The 20,949-nt window shown below is 44.2% G+C and overlaps 1 protein-coding gene across 25 annotated transcripts in view; it reads right to left on the reverse strand.

Moving 5' to 3' along the window:
• Positions 198 to 20,949, reverse strand: part of CPSF7 (cleavage and polyadenylation specific factor 7) — a 27,247-nt gene continuing 6,495 nt past the window's right edge. For 4 of the 25 annotated variants that reach the window (XM_047427623.1, XM_047427624.1, XM_047427620.1 and 1 more), the window contains exons 3-11: positions 18,859 to 19,077; positions 17,939 to 18,042; positions 17,418 to 17,563; positions 13,833 to 13,988; positions 13,574 to 13,631; positions 13,135 to 13,253; positions 9,238 to 9,406; positions 8,407 to 8,574; positions 198 to 2,173 (exon numbers count right to left, since the gene is read on the reverse strand). In XM_047427623.1, the coding sequence (XP_047283579.1) occupies positions 8,412 to 8,574; positions 9,238 to 9,406; positions 13,135 to 13,253; positions 13,574 to 13,631; positions 13,833 to 13,988; positions 17,418 to 17,563; positions 17,939 to 18,042; positions 18,859 to 19,077 (1,134 nt within the window). In that variant the 3' untranslated portion in view covers positions 198 to 2,173; positions 8,407 to 8,411. Of the gene's footprint in view, positions 2,174 to 8,049; positions 8,575 to 9,237; positions 9,407 to 13,134; positions 13,254 to 13,573; positions 13,989 to 17,390; positions 17,564 to 17,938; positions 18,043 to 18,522; positions 18,600 to 18,660; positions 18,727 to 18,858; positions 19,108 to 20,949 lie in introns of those variants that run through there. The other 21 variants (NM_001142565.3, XM_011545259.3, XM_047427618.1 and 18 more) reach the window with 13 other exon arrangements.

Raw genomic sequence — 20,949 nt, forward strand, 5'->3', positions numbered from 1 at the left:
TATCACTGCCTGACATGCAATCCTAGCTAAGAACTTGGCATTTCACCATCATTCGAGTGTCTACATCAGCCCATGCCCATGCCCCAGACACCTCAACAAATCTATTCAATGCAGAATCCATAAAACAGCTCACACCCCATTTATTATTTAAAAATATTTTGTTACAAAAGGAAAAAAATACAATGCAGTATAAAAGATTGACAGCGTCATCAAGTTTATTACACAATTTTCAACCTATCAGAAAGACAAACAAATCACCGACAACAGGGGGACGGGACCTTGGCCTTTTTGAGGGATGGGTGTTTTTTTTCCTTTTGCTATCAGGAAATAAAACTAAAAATGGTGTCATTGAGTAAAAACAAAACAAATGGGGAGAAAAAAATTCTCCGGGTAAACGGCATTTCTGGTATTCTATATATATTTTTCCTTAAACTGTCACCTTTTCTCTACATTTTAAAAGACACCCGGAGTTGCTCTCAATAAGCACATCACTTAACACTTGGCCAGTTGGGTGGGGTGCCATGTTCTGAAGTGGAGGTGGGGATGGGGTTGGGGGACAGGGGAAAAAAAGCTCCAACCTGTAGCCTCTGTCCCAAGGGAATGTGCCTCTCCAATCCTGCGGGGGACTCCCTCAGTGACTGAGGGCTATATGAGAAACGTGCTGGGAACAGAGGACGGGTTTAGTCCAATTCAGTCTCTCTCCTCTGACCCAGAAGGGTCTCTAGTGACCCTATGTCTCACATGCCAAGTCTCATCTCACATGCCACGTCTCATGTTAGGTGTCAGATGCCCTGTAGATGCATGCAGAAGTAGCATCACCCCATGGGTACCGCAGGACCTCGCTGCTGCCTCCTCCTTCAGCAGCAACCACATTACAATTTGGATGTTATGGAAAAGCAATTCCATTTGCCTGTAGAGAAAATGGCCCCCAGAATGCTGGTCCTTAGAACTCTGAGCTGAGTTCATTCAAGTCGGGCTCTGTTTCTTCTGGCTCCTCATCTGAGGCAGGAAGTATCTCCAGGCAGAGTGAGAGGAGCTATTAAGTCAACAGTCAAAAGGTGAAAAGACACCAAATTTGTGACTTTACCTGCCTACTAGTGCCAGGTTATCCCACAATAAGTAAAAGTATGTACCTGGGGGATGTAAGCCCATGCTTACATCAAACCTGAAAAAAGAAAAGCCTATGGAAGTAGGCCATATCCTGCCCAACTTGCTTCTTTCCCCATTCCTCCTGGTTACTTCACAAGGGTTCTTCATTGCTGAGGTCCCAATGTCCCCATCTCCCAATGGGCAGTACCTTCCTCTAAAACAAGGAAGTAGCCTTCTGGGGGAAGGGCTCCATGTGTTAAATGGAAAAGCCCCAGGGAAAGGGAACAACTAAGAGCTGGTTATTGCAAGAGGTACCCAAGCACTAAGCAGCAGAGGGTGGTAATTGGCTCTGCCAGGCTTCCCAGCAGCAAGCAACCTCATAGGCCTTCTCTGCTTAGGAGGGGCAAGTCCACTGAGAAGGCTGGGCAGCGCAGAGTTGAAAGAGTTCAGCCCTCTGGGAGGTCAAAGAAATAAACCGTCAATACGTGAGAGGGAAAGCAGGAACAGAAGTAGCTTTTCATAAGGTAATTTCTGTTCTCATGGTCCCTCCTCAAAGGGCTGGAAAGGTAAAGGAGTTAAACAAAGAAGTGGTATGTTAGCAAGGGGTTTGGACCCTCTTGGCCCCATTAAATCTAGTGCTGAGGGCAGGACCCTGGGCATATTTTGGCACACCCAGTCACTCTCCTAGATCCTGCATGGAGGATCTATTTTCTTTGGGAAGGAAGTCTTCCCATCAACCTCACCATTGAACGGCTCCCGGAGAATCAGAAACTCATACGTTTTCTTGGACAAAGCACCATTCTCTATGGAGACCAGGGGCCTGGACATGTTTTCTTCCTGTCTGCCACCCCTCCCAATCACACGAAGTCTTTAGGTTCTTTCCCCTGGCAAACAGGAGGTGTGGGATTGGGAGGACTGCCAAGCAGTCTTCAATCCTGTGGGGCAGAGGGTATTCCCTGGGTGTCTGGAGGGAGTTAGGGGTTTGGAGGAAAGGGAAGGGGGTGGGGCGGCCTCCGTCCTTTAGTCCTGATCAAGGTGAGGAGATGCAAGTCCATTAAAAAAACATTTGCTTCCAACCAGACTCCTGCAATGAGAACATCAGAAGAAAAGAAAGAAAACACAAGTTAGAGGTTACTTTCTGAATGACAGGGGCTTATATAAAACACACATATTCTAACGCTACAACATAAGAAGTAAGGAATGCAGACAGAGAATGCAAGTCTGGGAAAACAAAGCAGGACTGTCTGACACTAGAAGTGGTGAGGAATGGCTGGAGGAGAAGCTACTGTGAGTAGAGAGAAAAAAAGCAGTGACATCCACTATAAAGATTCGGTGAAAAAACAGAACAAAATGAGGTCTCTGAACGTTCGACTGAAAAGGAGACTTTGGCTGCAAAAGTATGGAAACTGTGACATATTTCAAGAAAAGTTGCTAAAAGGGAATAAGGTGAGTTTAAATATAGGTTAAGAAGTCTATTCTGTGCAAGTCATAGCTTACCTTAAGGGGAGGGGGAAAAATCTGGAAATGGGAGGTTTAGTGGTAAGAAAACAAGTATGTACACAACCAAATCCATTAATCCCCAAACACCCAAGAGGCCCTAGCAGGCAGGATGCACATACACAGGAAACTCTTAAATCCTTCTTTTTTCTTTTTAAAGGAGTCCTGGCTAAAAGTGCCTTTATGAGTATGTGTGTACACAAACACAGCCCCAGAGGTTTTCCAAGTGTACTAAAACTCGAGATTTTAAGTCTTTCCTCGCATGACAGCCATAGGTGAGGAACCAGGAAACATACTAACACTAAGCAGGAGTCACGTGGCCAGGCCAGAACAGAAAGCAGAGCATGGAAGAAACCTAAATGCAGTTAAGAAGTTTTACCCAAAAGGGTCTATTAAGCCACCTGTCACATGGCCACCAAACAAAGTTCCTACTATACTCAGCACCTGTTCCAATGCTGCAATACCCATCTGCGGGTGGTGGTATGGTCAGTCTGAGCATATTAAACAGAATTAATAGCCAAAGGGAAAATGAGGAATTAGAATTTCTCCTAATGCCCAAACTGGCAACACAGCCTACGCACAAATGTTTACCTTTTATATAACTACTTCTGTAAAGTGGCCTTATAAAACCTAGAGGAGACATCTACGTCCTCCCTGATCCTTGTACACACCGAAATGACACTATTTTCAGCTTGGGTCCTCAGAATCTATATGGCCTAAGCCTTCCTGGCCTGTCTAAACACCTACGCAGGCTGGTATTTGTCCCATTTTCTCTAAGGGAAAACTGAAGCCCTCAGTGCACTCAATTACATACCATTAGGGCTTCTGAATCTTTGAATTCGATCCAAATTGAAGAGAAAGCTCAGTTTTCAATGGATAACGAGGACAGGAATGACGTGAGAATGACTATATTTCAAGTAGGATAATGTCCTAAAATAATGAGATAACTGACATAGTTGAGAACTACAAAAAGTTGAAGACACAGGTTGCAGAGGATAACTTGTACACCAAGAGAAGCAAGCCATAGCACTGAATTCTTAAATCTCCATGGCTACATTTTGGTGCCAATGTTGGAATGCAGGCAGAAATCAGAGATTCCTTCAAGTGGGCCAATTAGCCTTCAGGCCCCAGAACTGGGTCTTACGCCGAGAAAAGATGGACAAAGAAGGCTACTGTTCTATTGCTGCCTCTGGACAAAATGTACCTTTCACTCTCAGGGAACAGCTGTCATCATAGAATATAAATATGATTCATTTCTAACTAAAAGGTTGCTATAAATGAGGACCATGTACCATCTTCCCAACATGAAACTTCCTAAGCCATAACTTGGTCACTACAGATGGAATTAAGAGTCCTTAGGGTGAGAATGTAAGAAATTGACATTCTTGGGGTGCCTGATTCAGTTCTTTCAGACTATTATTCAGATGCAATAACCACTATATCAAACGGGTGACCAGGAAAAGTGAGGAAGTAGAAAACCTGCCTCAGAGTTAATTTTTCCCATCTTGTCATGGGCCTACACAAGTCAAATGACTGTTTTCTAGGCAATATTGTTACAGCATTTTCAAAGTTACCAAAAGAGAGTTATCCTCATAATGGGAGAAATAGTCTCATCTTATTTTATTTTTATTACTATTTTTTTTGAGACAGGGTCTTGCTCTATTGCCCAGGCTGGAGTGCAGTGGCACAAACATGGCTCACTGCAGCCTCTATCTCCCGGGCTCAAGTGATCCTCCCACCTAAGTGCCCCCAAGTAGCTGGGACTCCTCCTGCCTCAGCACCCCCAAGTAGCTGGGACTACAGGAGCACATCACCATGCCCAGCTAGTTTTGTATCTCTGGTAGAGACGAGTGTTTTGCCATGTTCCTCAGGCTGGTCCCTGAGCTCAAGCGATCTGCCCCTCTCGGCCTCCCAAAGTGTTGAAGTTACAGGCATGAGCCACTGTGCCTGGCCCCATTTTATAAGTGGAAGAAATAATGCAAAGTGACAGCTAAAGACTCAGGTTGAGATGTTTAATTCTCAAACTACTGCTGGATCAGTGGATCTCGCTGGTAATTTCCCTGTCATAAGGCTGTCAGGAGCAAAGCCATCAGGAATGGTGACATGCATTTATGTTCTAACTACTAAACTGAATGCAGCCCCAAAGACGACAGTGCATGCTCTGCACAGGTCAATCATCACCTTCCTGTTCACTCTTATCCCAGTCAGCTCCAAAAGACATACACTGTAGCCTACATGTGCTTTTCAACCCACAAGTAACACTAGCAACTGTGCAGACTCAAACAAGAAAAGGGAGTTAGGACTGGACCAAGACCAACTCTAATGCCTGCCCTCATGCCCACCTGAGACTGAATTAGGCCAAAGTTGTTTGTGGTCTCCATCTACAATAGCGTCTGCTTTTCCAGAGGATACATGGGCATCTCCCCAAACTCAACCTGTTGCAAAATCTAGAAAGAAGTACCTGGAGCCCACAGCCTAACTGTTGATTCTACATGAGTTAACCTAGATTTCAATGATGTTAAGCACTCTAGGATTTTGTGGAATAAATGAGTGGCTAACAACAGAGAACAGAGACAAAAAATATTAGTAATTTTTCATCTTTCCACTTACTTGTTTGGGAGAAGATAAAAACAATTCCTGGCTATAAATCTATTTAAGCTAATGGCCAAAGAACAAGACAGAGGGCAGTAGCCAAACCTAAAAGGAGTATTTTGGTTTTTAGTAGGTTGTCACTGGGCAAAATACTGCTAATTTTCCAACTATTTACATTCCAGCTACTGCTCATGAACTATAGGGGCTCACAGGTGGTGAGTTTCTTTGTCCTTCTTCATCCAGATATCGCCATCCCAAAGACACCAAAAAGAACTACTATTCTTTCCCCTCACCTTCCTTTTCAATTACCATTACTTTAGATCAAGCAGGCAAATAATCAAGGACATCTTTTTTTTTTTTTTTTTGAGACAGAGTCTCACTCTGTCGCCCAGGCTGGAGTACAGTGGCGCGATCTCGGCTCACTGCAAGCTCTGCCTCCCGGGTTCATGCCATTCTCCTGCCTCAGCCTCCTGAGTAGCTGGGACTACAGGCACCTGCCACCATGCCCGGCTAATTTTTTTGTGTGTATTTTTAGTAGAGATGGGGTTTCACCGTGTTAGCCAGGATGGTCTCGGTCGGGATAGAGACGGGGTTTCACCATGTTAGCCAGGACGGTCTCAATCTCCTGACCTCGTGATCCACCCACCTTGGCCTCCCAAAGTGCTGGGATTTCAGGTGTGAGCCACCGTGCTCGGCCAAGGACATCTTCCTAATGTACTTGATGTGAGACAGAGAAATGGGAAGTCCTAGAGACTTATAAATCTGCAACCACAAAATTAAGAAAGGACCCTGAAGTTACCTGGGTCACGCAGTAGCCTCCAAGAACTACAGACAGACCCCTAGCCACTCTGGCCTATTTTAAAGATTTCCATAGAAGCAGAGACAACACCTGCTCCTATATGCTTATATAATAGAAACAATCTTTCCAGAAGTTTTCCTTCAGTTGGGATTGCTAAGCTGGTAGGATGCAACCTAAAGACACAGCACCCCCTCTGACTCCCTACCAATATGGAGCCTGTCTAAGAATGAAAGCAACAGAGAAAAGCAGAGCTGAGAGATGCAGATAAAGTCTGGATGACACAGCCAGAGCCCCTGGATCCAACCAATCTTAACTGAACTTCTCCATTACTTAAGAGTTTTTATCCCAACCTTCCTGCTTTCATTTTGCTTCAAAAGAAAATTACAGCCAGTCGCAGTGGCTTCATGCCCATAATCCCACAGCACATTGGGAGGCTGAGGCAGGGGGATCACTTGAGGCCAGGAGTTCAAGACCAGCCTGGGCAACAAAGCAAGACTCTACAAAAAATTTAAAAATTAGCCCTCAGGAGGCTGAGGCAGGAGGATCACCTGAGCCCAGGAGGTTGATGTTACAGAGCCATGATGGTGCCTCATGACAGTGCACTCCAGCCTGGGTGACAGAGTGAGACAATGTGTCTATTAAAAAAACAAAAACAAAAACAAAACAAAACAAAACAAAAAAACAGCCGGGTGCGGTGGCTCACGCCTGTAATCCCAGCACTTTGGGAGGCCGAGTCAGGTGGATCACGAGGTCAGGAGTTCAAGACCAGCCTGGCCGAGATGATGAAACCCCGTCTCTACTGAAAATACAAAAATTAGCCGGGCGTGGTGGTGGGCGCTTGTAATCCCAGCTACTCGGGAGGCTGAGGCAGAGAATTGCTTGAACCCGGGAGGTGGAGTTTGCAGTGAGCCGAGATTGCGCCACTGCACTCCAGCCTGGGCAAGAGTGAGACTCTGTCTCAAAACAAAACAAAACAAAAAACACAACAACAAAATAAACAACCTTGTCACTAAGTCTTTTCCAAAAGCAAAAAACCCTTCCGTTGAAGTTAATTATCCACCACAAAGCCTCTAAACCTGTTAAAGATAATTTTTCAGATCAGCTTTCTCCTCTCTGACTAAAGCATATTAATTTTCAAAATCTTTTAAATAAACCGTTTTTTTTTTTTTAAAGAGATGGGGTCTCGGCCAGGCATGGTGGCTCACGCCTGTAATCCTAGCACTTTGGGAGGCCAAGGTGGGCTGATCACGAAGTCAGGAGTTCAAGGCCAACCTGGCCAGTATGGTAAAGCCCCGCCTCTACTAAAAACAGAAAAATTAGCGGGCGTGGTGACGCGCGCCTGTAGCCCCAGCTGCTGGGGAGGCTGAGGCAGAATAGCTTGAACCCGGGAAGTGGGGGTTGCAGTGAGCTGAGATCATGCCACTATACTCCAGCGTGGGCGGCAAAGTGAGGCTCTGTCTCAAAAAAAAAAAGATAGGGTTTCACTATGTTGCTCAGGCTGGTCTCAAACTCCTGCTTAAGTGATCCTCTAGCCTCTGCCTCCCAAATTACTGAAGTGATGGGATTACAGGCATGAGGCACCCACCCGCCCCTCCTCCCTACCTTTTTTCAGACAAGGTCTCACTGTCGCTCAGGCCAGAGTGCAGTGGTGCAATCACAGATCACTGCAGCCTCGACCTCCTAGGCTCAAGCAACCCTCCCACCTCCACCTCCTAAGTAGCTGGGACCACCACACTTGGCTAATTTTTGTATTTTTTGTAGAGACAGGGTCTCCCTATGTTGCCCAGGCTGGTCTCGAACTCCTGGCTCAAACAATCCTCCCATCTTGGCCTCCCAAAGTGCTGGGATCATAGGTGTGAGCCATCATGCCAAGCCTAATTCTTAAAATCATTAATGTTGCAGCTTGAAAACTAAGTGGCAATGGCTTTACTATTCTTAGTCAATTTTCCTAATTTAAATTGAAAGTTCATAATGATAATAACAATGGCTATTAATTATTGAGAACTTACTATGTGACAGGTACCATGAGTGCTAAATGGTCTACATGGACTCTCTCACTAAAACTTAGCAAGTCACTGGGACAGTTGCTTTTATTATCTTCATTTACAAATGAAACTGTGGAACAGAAAGTAATATGGCCAATTATTAGTGGAGAAACTGGGATTCAAATTGGTACCTGAATGCAGACACCATACTCTCACTCAGATACCAGGTTAAGGCAGTCAAGAAACAAGCAGAAACAGCTGAATCTCAGGGTAAGACTCCCCATAAATGTGCAGAAAATCTGCCCTGAAATTCCAGTTATGTAAATCAGAAGTTCCCCCTACCCTTGCTGCATTTACTTTTGCTTTAAAGAGAGAGAATTCTTCACTATAAATCTTTTTTTAATAAAAAATCCCCCAGCAGCCAGGAACGGGGCTTCTCCCCACCTTTCTCAGTGGTGCCGGTCCCGTTCTCTATCCCGGTGTCTCTCATGCTCCCGGTTCCTTTCTTGGAAATAATCATCATGCCGATCTTCATTATGAAGCAGATCCCGGTGCCTCCTGCTGCTCTCCCGGGACCGGCTAGGTGACCTTTCCCGGGAGCGATGTCTTTTCCTATTAGAAAGATCCTTCAGCCTCACTCAGAAGGCCTACCACTTTCTTTCCAAGAATGTGGTGTTTTGGTGTCTTCTGATATTTGCCTAAACTATTCCTCTATTACTCTATCATGGGCCTGCTGTCTGAGGATTTTAGCTCTTTGAGGACTACTCTTTTTTGGGAAGATGATTAACAGGTAAATTTATCTGTTGAGAACTAATTTATCAGGTGTAGTGCTAATAATTTTGTATGGATTATCTGACCTAATCTTTACAACAGGTCTGTAAGATAAATACTATCAGTGTCCCTTTTTTAGAAAATGAGAAAAATAAGGCTTGGAAAGTTGACTAACTTCCATACACAAGAAGGTCATACAGATAGTTAGCAGCAGAACTGGGATTCCAATCCAAGCTTGTAGGGCTCCAAAACCCATGTTCTTAAAAATATCTGTCTGTATTTTTTCCTACATGAGCCCACTGCCTCACCCACCAGATTCCAGATGTTACAACACTTATTAATGAAAGCATCTGATTAGTTTCTTCCCCAAAAAGACATGAAGGCTAACGTCCAGACTTTCGGCCAGGTCTTTCCCAGATTCCCTGGGCTCCATTTGTCCCCACTCCCTATCCCTGGAAGAGTGCTGCTTGGGGCTGGTAGGTGAGGACACAATCACCAACTCACCTGGAAGAGCTCCCACTGGCACCCACACTGTAGGACTTGGCTTCGATGCCATGAAGACAGTCCTTAAGAGAGGAGATGAGGACACGGCAACGCTCATCATTGGCAACCCGGGACTGTTTGATAACCGCAATGGCTGTGAGCAGCGTCTCAATTGCGTCACTGTAATCCCCTGATAAAGGATGAAGGAGAAAGGCCAAGGGTGAGGAGAGATGGTAAACTAACTGGACCAAAAGGAGAACTCAGGCAGACACAAACCAAGAGTAGCTAGCCGTCCCAAACAACCGCGGTAAAAGAGACAAGGCAGATGTTGCAAGTGTAAAACTGGATGACACCTATATTCCAGCAGTTCGGAATTTAACAGATGTTGTCAGATGAACAAACTGACACACTGTTGTCCAGGGGCTATTTGACATCTATTAAAATAAACAATGTGCATATTTTTTGAGCCAGCAATTCTATTAAAAATTTTCTACTTCTGTTCACAAGTGTGTATGTTTAACAGTGTTTTAGTGTTTATTTTTTTTCATTTTTTTTTTTTTTGAGACAGTCTCACTCTGTTGCCCAGGCTGGAGTGCAGTGGCCGTGATCTCGGCTCACTGCAAGCTCCGCCTCCCAGGTTCACGCCATCCTCCTGCCTCAGCCTCCTGAGTAGCTGGGACTACAGGCGCCTGCCACCACACCCAGCTAATGTTTTGTATTATTAATAGAGACGGAGTTTCACCGTGTTAGCCAGGATGGTCTTGATCTCCTGACCCTGTGATCCGCCCGCCTTGGCCTCCCAAAGTGCTGGGATTACAGGCATGAGCCACTGCGCCCGGCCAGTGTTGTTTGTTATATTATCTTCAATAGGGTCTGGCTATATAAAGGAACATTGGTTCTACAGAATATTACATTATTAATGTACTATTAACAATTAAAAAAGCAGGAGGTAAACCTGTATGTAAACAAAGTAATCCATGTAAAGCCCTTAGCACAGTGCCAGGCACACAGTAAGGATCAATAAATGTTATGTTATATGTTGATATAATAGGTGTCCAGAATATACTAATTGAAACAAGCAAGTTTCAAAACCATATCCTGTTTTTGTAAAAACAATAAAAATTATATAAATTGTCATATGCATAGAAAAAATTCTGGAGGAATATAAACTATAAAAGGTGGTCTTATTGGTTGATGGTCCTTGTATAGAGGACTATTTTGTTTTTGAGATGGGTCTTGTTTTATCATCCAGGCTGAAGAGCAGTGGTATGATCATAGCTCACTGCATCCTTGAACTCCTGGGCTCAAGCCATCCTCCTGCATGCCACTTCACCTGGCTTATTTTTCAAAAATTTTTTGTAGAGATGGGGTCTCACTATGTTGACCAGGCTGGTCTTGAATTCCTGGCCTCAAGTGATCCTCCTGCCTGGGCCTCCTAAAGTGCTGGGATTATAGGTATGAGCCACTGTACCTCATGAGACTTTCTAAATAATGTGTATTTCTACAAGTTATTTTTAACCTACCATCAGATGTATGTGTGTATATATATGATATTTACATAAAACATGTATGCGTAGTATATGTATACATTAAAAAAATTATGGCTGGATGCAGTGGCTCACACTTGTAATCCCAGCACTTTGGGAGGCCGAGGTGGGCGGATCACTTGAAGCCAGAGTTCGAGACCAGCCTGGCCAAAATGGTGAAACCCGGTCTCTACTAAAAATACAAAAACTAGCTAGGCAGTGTGGCATGCACCTGTAATGCCAGTTATTTGGGGGGCTGAGGCAGGAGAATTGCTTAAATCTGGGAGGGAGAGGTTGCAGTGAGTCGGGATCAGACCACTGCACTACTCCAGCTTGGGCAATAGAGCCAGACTTCGTCTCAAAAAAAAAAAAAAAAAATTTATGCTGTCATAAAAAACTAGGCCTTTCATTTCCCAACTCTGAGTAATGCCTGGCTCAGGGATAGTGGTCATGGGGCGGGTACCTACACTTTGCTTTTCCAAGCTAAGTCAAGAGCATTAAGGACAAAAGTTAATACAAAGAAAATATGAATTCAGGCAGGGGTCCAGTGAAAATGAAGCCTGGCAGCTTCCTCTGTGCAAGGCAACAAGAACAGAAACTATGGAGAAACTGTCCAGTGGAGGCACAAGAATATGAAGACATCAGCTCCATCCTGGCAGGGAATTTTTGCCTGTTTTTGTAGTATCTTCAATAAGTATTTGTGGTTTGAATGACTGGAATGAGAACAACAGGAGATCAAGATTCAGTTATTGATCATCTTAGTGTGAAAGGGTTGATGAGGAAGAAGGAACAATGAGTACTTTCTTTATACTGTTCTGTGTATTTAACCCATATAACCCATGGGTATATATTACTTTTTAATTTAAAAAGACTAATTTTTTTTTTTTTTTTTTTGAGACACAGTTTCACTCTGTTACCCAGGCTGGAGTGCAGTGGCACAATCTCGGCTCACCACAACCTCCACGCCCTGGGTTCAAGCAATTCTCAATTCTCGTGCCTCAGCCTCCCAAGTAGCTGGGTCTATAGGCATGTGCCACCATGCCTGGCTTATTTTTGTATTATTAGTAGAGATGGGGTTTTGCCATGCTGGTCTCAAACTCCTGACCTCAAGTGATTTACCGGCCTTGGCCTCCCAAAGTGCTGGGACTACAGGCATGAGCCACTGCACCTGGCCTAAAAAAGACTAATTTAGATGTCAATGTAGATTTTTCTGGTGGGAAAAAAATGAAGGGAACATATGTACTTTCTGTCTTTAACCTTCTCTGTGGATTCAAGTTTGGCAAGATGATGCAAAGATGAAAACTGATGGAAAGCAGATGATAATATTTAGGGCTAACTTATTTCTTAGGAGATCTGATAATCTACAGACATTTACATTCATGTAGGAAACTCACAGGAAGGAAGTGAATATGGCTAATGTCACGATGTGAAAACCGGACCAGAACTCTGAAACTTCCTGTAGCCTCTTCTTTTAGAAACTAAAGATCTTATGCTCAGGGCTTTCAGAATCATGGCTGCTGGTTCTACCCACTTAATAATGAGAGCAGGGCAAAAGTTAGCTGTAAGGGCATAACATGCCTTAAGATGACATCTACAGACTTGCCTCTTTTTAGGATAGGCTACCTACCAGCTCTGCTTAGACTCCTAAATGTAATCAGATTTCATAGCAAACCATTATCTAGGCTGGACGTGGTGGCTCACACCTGTAATCCTAGCACTTTGGGAGGCCGAGACAGGCGGATCACTTGTGGTCAGGAGTTCAAGACCATCCTGGCCAATATGATGAAACCCTGTCTCTACAAAAAAATACAAAAATTAGCCGGGCGTGGTGGCAAGTGCCTGTAATCCCAGCTACTTGGGAGGCTGAGGCAGGAGAATCGCTTGAAACCAGGAGGTGGAGGCTGTAGTGAGCCAAGATTGCACCACTGCACTCCAGCCTGGGCGACAGGGCAAGACTCCCTCTCAAAACAAACAAACAAAAAAACACATTATCCAGTCAAAACATCATTCCTAAAGAAGACCCAGGGTCTATATCTGGTATTGGGTCTACTACACAGACACTAGATCTAAAGATCAACCACTGAGATGGAGATTTCCACAAGGCAGGAATTTCACTCTACAGCAAACACCACATCGAGATGGTATTAATTATTTATATTCTAGGCATTAAGTTGGTTTTCATGAGGGCAGGCCTAGATACAGACTAAGTAATACTGCCGGAGCTTCCCCAAGGCCAAGAAATCAGGTTACATATTGCTCTTCAAAGTATGCCGCTCTTGATATCTACAGTACTCCAACTTTATCTTGTTGAACTTTTGCCAGTAGAAATGACAAAATCAGGAAAAAAAAGTAAAGGTTAAGGAGAAGGCAGCAAAGGTAAGCACTGAGTTACCTGCACTGGCTCCAGATACTGCTTTGGAAATGGCACTGCTGGAAATTGCTCTGTTTCGCTTCATGATATCTTCAAATTCGGCTTCACTCACTGTAGAGGGTGGAGGGCCCGAATCTCGGCTGTACAGAGAAAATACCATCCTTGATTGCTCACATCCCTTATTATTTTTACTGTACTCTACAACACTTTGGTAATTTTGGCATAACACAGAACAATGCTAGACATCTGTAGCATTCATAACACCTGCTCCCGCATTTAATTAAGCACCTTAAAAAGGGGTATAAAGGACATGGTACTACTTCCCAGGAGTCAATGCTATGATAACAGAATGTCTATAAGGGAAAGAACAAGGATTCAGTGCTCACTTTCTCAGGGAGAATAAAATGCTTAATACACTTATTTACCCTGGCTCAAATCTGAAAGGAACAATAGTCCTTACCTGCCATGGTGGTTATAGGGGGCAGAGGCCTTCATGTAAGTATCTGGTGGAGGCCCCACTGTAGCGTTTGGTGGGGGGAAGAAGGCTGGATTGAGGTGAAGGGCAGGTGGGATGGCCCCAGGGGGAGGTACAGCAAGATGAGGAGGTAATCGAGGAGGTGGGGGCATGAGATGCTGGTAGTGGATACCAGGAGGAGGAGGAGGGACCCCAAAGCTTGAGGAGAGAGGTGGTGGGGGTGGAATTGGTGGTGGGGGCAGACCCATCAGGGGAAGGGCCGAAGGAGGACGATTGAAGTAGGGCAGCACACTGGGGGGCTTATCCACACGAGCAGATGAGGGTACAAGGTTCTCAGAGGGTGTGGCCCGTCCATCAGCAGAATCACTAGAATCTCGGGAATGGGCCCGTGGAGGTATTCCTATGAAGCAAAACAGAACTGATGTTACTGCCCAGGCTTTACACAAACCCACAGGACCAGTTCATCCTTCAGAAGTTATCAGACACCCTACAAAGGAAGGTGACTAAAGAGGCTGAGAAGGTAAAATCATCTACTGCCTTTTTTTTGGCTTCAGAGGTCAGAAGCAACTCAGTGAAGACATTAAATCCAAAAAACAATATCGTCCTAAATCCTGTCAAAGAATGTTTTCCATCCATAACTCCAGAAGTGCTTCAGAACAGATTTAATTTATCCTTATATGTATCTTCTATTTTTAAATGTAGAAGGATCCTGATAGCCCACGAGAAAATGACAGTGTTCACTGATGTTCAGGTGAATTGCAGTTGACTTGAAACCCCACATCTCCTGAAGAGTTCAGGACCTCTCTCCTTAAACTAATACTAGTTAACCTCTTCCTGTTGCACACTTAAAATGTTCTCTTTGCCACAGGGTGTTGGCTAGGGAATTTAAGGGAAGAGAGGGAGTGGCAGGAACTGGATGGCACTTCTATTTACATACTAAAACTAGTAATCAGGGTGAGAAAGAGACACACATGAAGACTAGACAACTGGAGGTTAAGTGAAAGATAAGAAAAATTGGGAGATACGCCAATAAAAGATCCGCCCACAGCACAAGCAGATAGCACACAGCTGACAGTAAGGATGCTTAGCAAAAGCTTGCTACAAAACATGTCTCCAATCTGGGGAACTCCCGCTACATTTCAATGGCCAAAATCCTCTACCCTTCAGGGCAGCCTAACAGGAACACCATCACCACATGCTAGTATGGTGCTGTGCACAACAGGAGCTCAGAACATGTTTTAAACAGCTGGAAGCATGGATTCTGACATTGTCAAGTCACTTGGTTAAACTTGTTCCTTCTCTCCAGTTTAACAGTCTAAGCCTGTTTATTGTGGAATCCAATAGAAGAACAAGATCACATGGCTTTGGGGGGGTCTTGGAGATAGAAAGATGCCACTGGCAGCAAGTGTGGAGGAAAGAGTGCTCCTTAAACTAGAATATGATAGTTAATCCCAGCTCCTGAGTAAAGCCTAAGGTGGAATCAATTATGTTGACAACCACCTAGATTTCTCTTACAGAACAGTGCCAGTGCTGTCTTGTTCTTCAGGTCTCAAACACATGGCAACTGGCTCTTTCCTAGAGTTCTCTCAAACTGAAGAACAAAAAGGTATAAGGCAAGTGTCATCTGACAGTTAACCACTTTCCCAGCTACTACTGTTGTCACATCTGCAAAGGTTGTTTTGTATCTATGGCTACAAGTCCCAAAAGACGCAACATTTCTATGCAGAGGAAGTCCACCAGCTTTACTTAGTGAATTAACAGAGCCCAGGTCCATCAGCATGACAGAGCAGAAAAACAGCACTCAGTTACACAATCTTTTCAGCAAAAAAAAGTAACATGAAAAGTAGCTGAGTAGAAGTAGAACGTTACCCCCAATACAGTTGTAAAATTACATACCTAAGGAAAGTCAGGGGTGAATTACAGAAAGACTCCAAAACAGAGGGGACTTGAAAATACAACTTGTCAAGGAAGAAGAGTGTGTCCTTTCTAACATGGAACAACAAGAGTTCACACCAAATCTATCTAGGCTGTCAATCTAGTTAAAAGAACAGCTGTTCCTATGCAAGAGCAAAGTGGTCCTATTTCTACCTGGAGGATACACCCAATCAATACAAGGCACTATTTTGAGAGCTGGACCTAAGCAGTGACAGAACATCAGTGATGAAACTTTGCTGTTCCTCCCACTGTAGCAAAAGAAAATAAGGGTGGTTGGCTGTCTCAGGGAAGGTCTTGCAGGGTGGCTGCACTTTATGAGGTCAGGAAAATCCAAGGTCTAGTCCTCAGGTTTCTCAGGTTCAGAAACTTGCTTCAACTGGGGTGACTAGGCCCTAGGAGACTGATTCATGCTAACCAAACTCACAAGAGACTGATTCATAAACCATAACACCAATTTATTAATTTACAATGAGAAATGTAATTGCCAAGCAGACCAGAATACTTGTGTCGGCTGGTCAGCGAATTCTCTTCCTAGTAGGAGACCCTAATTGGGAAACCAAATTAGCATCAGAAAGTGGCTTAGTGAGTACAGTCAGAATAAAGAGAGTAAGATGGACATTGGGGAAACTGTCCTCAAACTAAGGTAGTTCTGAGGTAACTTTCTTTTTTCTTTTTTTTTTTTGAGACAGAGTCTCACTCTGTCACCCAGGCTGGAAGGCAGTGGTGCAATCTCAGGTCACTGCAACCTCCACCTCCTGGATTCAAGAGATTCACCTGCCTCAGACTCCCGAGTAGCTGAGATTATAAGCATGTGCCACCATAACTGGTTAAGTTTTGTATTTTTAGTAAAGACAGGGTTTTGCCATGTTGCCCAGGCTGGTCTCGAACTCCTGACCTCAGGTATCTGCCCGCCTCAGCCTTCCAAAGCACTGGGATTACAGGTGTGAGCCACCATGCCCAGCCCCTAACTTTTTTATTTTCCCTCCAAGATGGAGTCTTGCTCTGTTGCCCAGGCTGGAGTGCAGTGGTCTGATCTCAGCTCACAGCAACCTCCGTCTCCCGGGGTCAAGCAATTCTCCTGCCTCAGTCTCCCGTGTAGCTGGGATTACAGGCATGTGTCACCCACACCCGGCTAATTTTTGTATTCTTAGTAGAGATGGGGTTTCACCATGTTGGCCAGGCTGGTCTCAAACTCTTGACCTCGTGATCCACCCACCTCGGCCTCTCAAAGTGCTGGGATTATAGGCGTGAGCCACCGCGCCCGGCCTGTAACTTTCTTTACTAATGGGATATAACTGCCAAGCAGACTAAAACATTTGGTAATCAAAAGAGCACCCTCTCCCCTGGACAATGCTGGAGAAATATTGTTCAAGTCTTATTCTCCAACACTCCTCTTGGTTGATTCCTTACAGTATCCTTCCAATCAACGTTTATGAAAAGATTATAGGCACCTTTTAGTTACATTTTAGGGTGGCTGCTTCTTGATAATTTATAGAGAGGCATGTCTTAAAAATTAAGCCCATTCACCTAATGCCAAGTTTTAGACAGAAACACAGAATTTAGAGGTGATGGAACTTTAAACATCATGTCACTAGTCCAGATGGGGAAACAGGCCCTAAGTAGTAAAGTGACTTGGCCAAGGTCACACGAGTCAGTGGCAGAACCAAACTACAACCTGAACCTACTTGACTCCCAGCACAATGCTCTTTCTTCTATATAGACCTATTCTGAGGACTACTTGTCGACCATGACACCACTCACAACCACCATCACCCTCCCCCAAACTCACCCACACTGTAGGCTAAGCCTACACCATAGAAAACAAACCCACAAACACCCCCCCCTCATACAGATGGTCTCCACGTACCCCCTCTTGGGACTCGGACACACTCACGTTTCCGAGCCTGTGCCTCAAACTGTGACAGGTTCTGCCGGGTGGCCGGCCTCACGTCCACTTTTTCTCCATTAAGAACTTTCCCTGGTAGGAGTTCCAACAATTTGTGGACAGAGTTTTCAGAGGCTACCACCACCTCAGCATACCTTAGGAAAGAAAAATTAAAAATGAATGAAATCTGTAGACAGCCAAGAGAAGAAAAAAGAAATTCTCTTCCACTTTTAGTAAAAATTGATAAAGCAAAGGACATCTTGCTAAACTAAACACACATACAGCACTAACAACAAAGAGACAGCCTAAATCTTTATTTTTTTGGAATTAAAAATCAGTATTCTTCGCCCCTTAACAGATGGATATTCTACTACACTGCAGCTAGGTCCCTTTCTAAGGCAGTTTGCCAAAACCAAGGCAGTAAGCTGGGCCAGGGGTGGGAGTGATTAAAATCCAGGGCCAAAATATAGTACAGATCTTTTATCCCAATGGTTACAAATTAAAAGGGGCTTCTCAAATCCAGACCTCACCCTTTGGACTGGCCATTTGCTCGATTCTCTGCAAATTTCAACTCCACCACATCATAGACTCCTATAGAGCGAATAACCTGGATCAGCTGCTGGTCTGTGGTCCACTGGGGCCGGCAAGATGGAAAAGGAAGAGATGTCAAGAGCTACACCCCCGCCCGCCAATGTCCCAAACCCAGGATTCTAGTCACAACTAAGTCCCCCCAGAGGAAACTCAAAAGCCTGGCAATATTTCAATTAGTGCAGACTTTTCTTATTGTCCTCACCCATACAGAATTCCAAACCCACTCACCCCCAATCTCCATCTTTAGAGATTACGAAGATTAAAACTTATTGTAACTTTGACTGCCGTTTGGGCTGGCTGGTCATCAGTTCAAACATTGACAGCTAGCAATTTTTTAATTATAGATCTGTCAGGCTAGAGTTGACCATTGCCAGAACTTCCCCCACAGTAAATATACTTCCTAATTTGGAAAAACCACCCCCACCACCAGCCCCAAAACATCACAAAATAACTTGCAGAACAACAGTCACCACCTACCCCAAGTATACTAGAGTTATCAAGGTCTTTAATCCCCATCACCCACCATTATCACAGGACCATCTAATGACCACCAAGAGTTCAAGGTGTTCACTCTGAAATCTCGTCCCTCAGATGACCCTGCTAGACATAAAGCCCCAGGGTCAGGGGCAGTAACAAGATGGCAGAAAAAGCAACTACCCACTTAATCATTGCTTTCTTCGGCACCAGTACGTCCTCAGGATAGTTCTCTTTCAGAGATCAATCCAACCTGATCCCAGGAAAAAGAAATCCAACCCCATCAGAGCACAAAACAGTGCAACAGTAGTTTCTGAAAATGCCATCACCTCCCAGTGCTCTCCCTCCAGCCCACCCCTAAGCATTTTTGGTTACCCACACTCACCCAGGAGAAGCTGCCCACATAAACGGCAGCTCGTCTATTACGCAGGCCACTGTAGGTATACAGAATTGCAGGGGTCTTGTTGTTGGGCTTGGGAGATGGCTCCTGGCGAACAGGAGGAGGTGGTTCAGTGCTGCTGCTTCTGTCATCTGAGGGCTGTGAGGTGGCTGTCAGCACATCATCATACAGGTCAATCTGATCTGTATTGTTGAACTCTGGGTCCTAAGAGATGAGGGGTTGGCAAAGGTAGGTCTGCAAACTTCATTTTGTTCATTCTATTTCACTCTAGTTTATTAGAATCCAGTTAAATACTTGGTAAAACATGTACAAAACTTCCTTGTCCTACCCCAGGAAACAAAGTAAGAAAAACCTCCTTTTGAAACTGTATCACTTAATTATGCTTATGTACATTTTTTTCCCCTCAAGATTCTGTTAATAGTCTGTAAAGTTTCTGGCTTTAGCCAACGGCAAGAATCAAAAAGCACTGGGTGATTAAGCAAGCAAAGAAAGAATGCATAATGAGATGCATGGGCTGCTGTTATCAATAAGGTCAGCTTCTAAAGACCACATCTAAGATAAGCTAATGAAAACTTATTTTCAGTATCTTATGCTATTTCCAAAATCAAGTGTTACATAAAATTCACTTGTCTATTTAATAATAAATTTATTTAGAAACAGAATGCAGAGGAAAAGCATGAAAGTGGGTACAAAAATGCAGAAAAGATTGGGAGTTACTGATTTAAATCCCTTGATTGGTATAAATGATTTAGGAAAGCTCTAAACTCATTGTACACAATCCCATCTTTCCATCGGAGAAAATAAAAAATAAATAAAAGGGAAGGGAATAACAACAGGGGTTTTCCCCTACTAAGTTCTATTTCTTAAATGACATACAGGCCCAATGCATTACCATGACATGTATCTAGGAGACTTTTTTTTTTTTTTGAGACAGGGTCTCACTTTGTCACCCAGGCTGGAGGGCAGTGGTGCAATTACAACTCACTGCAGCTTCAACCTCCTGGGCTCATGTGATCCTCCCACTTCAGTCTCCCAAGTAACTGGGGACTACAGACATGCGCAACCATGCCCAGCTAATTTTCAAATTTTTTTTGTAGAGACAGGGTTTCACCATGTTGCCCAGGCTAGTCTGGAACTCCTGGACTCAAGTGATCCACTGGCCTCGGCCTCCCAAAGTGCCGGGATTACAGGGGTGACTACCATGCCCAGCCAATATTCAATGATATACAAAAAACAGTTAAAGTTCTCTAAAATATAAGGGCCAGAAAACAGGACAAGAACATAAACTGTATCACACAGTAAGCATTTACAATATGAATATGTATTATGGAAAATGTGCAAAATACATATTCTGCCTATGTGATATCTTACTTACTATATACCAAAACCCCTAAAACTACAACTACTACTACTACGATACAGGACCTTAATGTTTAGGATTTTACAGGCTGGGTGCAGTGGCTCACGCCTTGTATCCCAGCACTTTAGGACGCAGAGATAGGCAAACTGCTTGAGCCCAAGAGTTTCAGACCAGCCTGGGCAACATGGTGAAACCCTATCTCTACAATAAATACAAAAATTAGTTGGGCATGGTGGCACACATCTATAGTCCCAGCTACTCGAGAGGCAGAAGGATCACTCGAGCCCGGGAGGTTGAGGTTGCAGTGAGCCAGCCTGGGCAACAGAGTGAGACCCCATATCAAAAAAAAAAAAAAAAAAAAAAAAAGGGTTCAGGATTCTACAATGTAATTACCTCAGAGAAATCTTTTTTTTTTTTTTTTTTTTTGAGACACAGTCTTGCTCCATTGCCCAGGCTGGAGTGCAGTGGCGCCATCTCAGCTCACTGCAACCTCTGCCTCTTGGGTTCAAGTGATTCTCCTGCCTCAGCCTCCTGAGTAGCTGGGATTACAGGCACACACCACCATGCCCAGCTAATTTTTGTATTTTTAGTAGAGATGGGGTTTCACCATGTTGGTCAGGCTGGTCTCAAACCCTTCATCTCGTGATCTGCCCACCTCGGCCTCCCAAAGTGCTAGGATTACAGGCGTGAGCCACCGTGCCTAGCCTCAGAGAAAT

This window comes from Homo sapiens, chromosome 11 (assembly GCF_000001405.40).
Source record: "Homo sapiens chromosome 11, GRCh38.p14 Primary Assembly".
Lineage (NCBI taxonomy): Eukaryota > Metazoa > Chordata > Mammalia > Primates > Hominidae > Homo > Homo sapiens.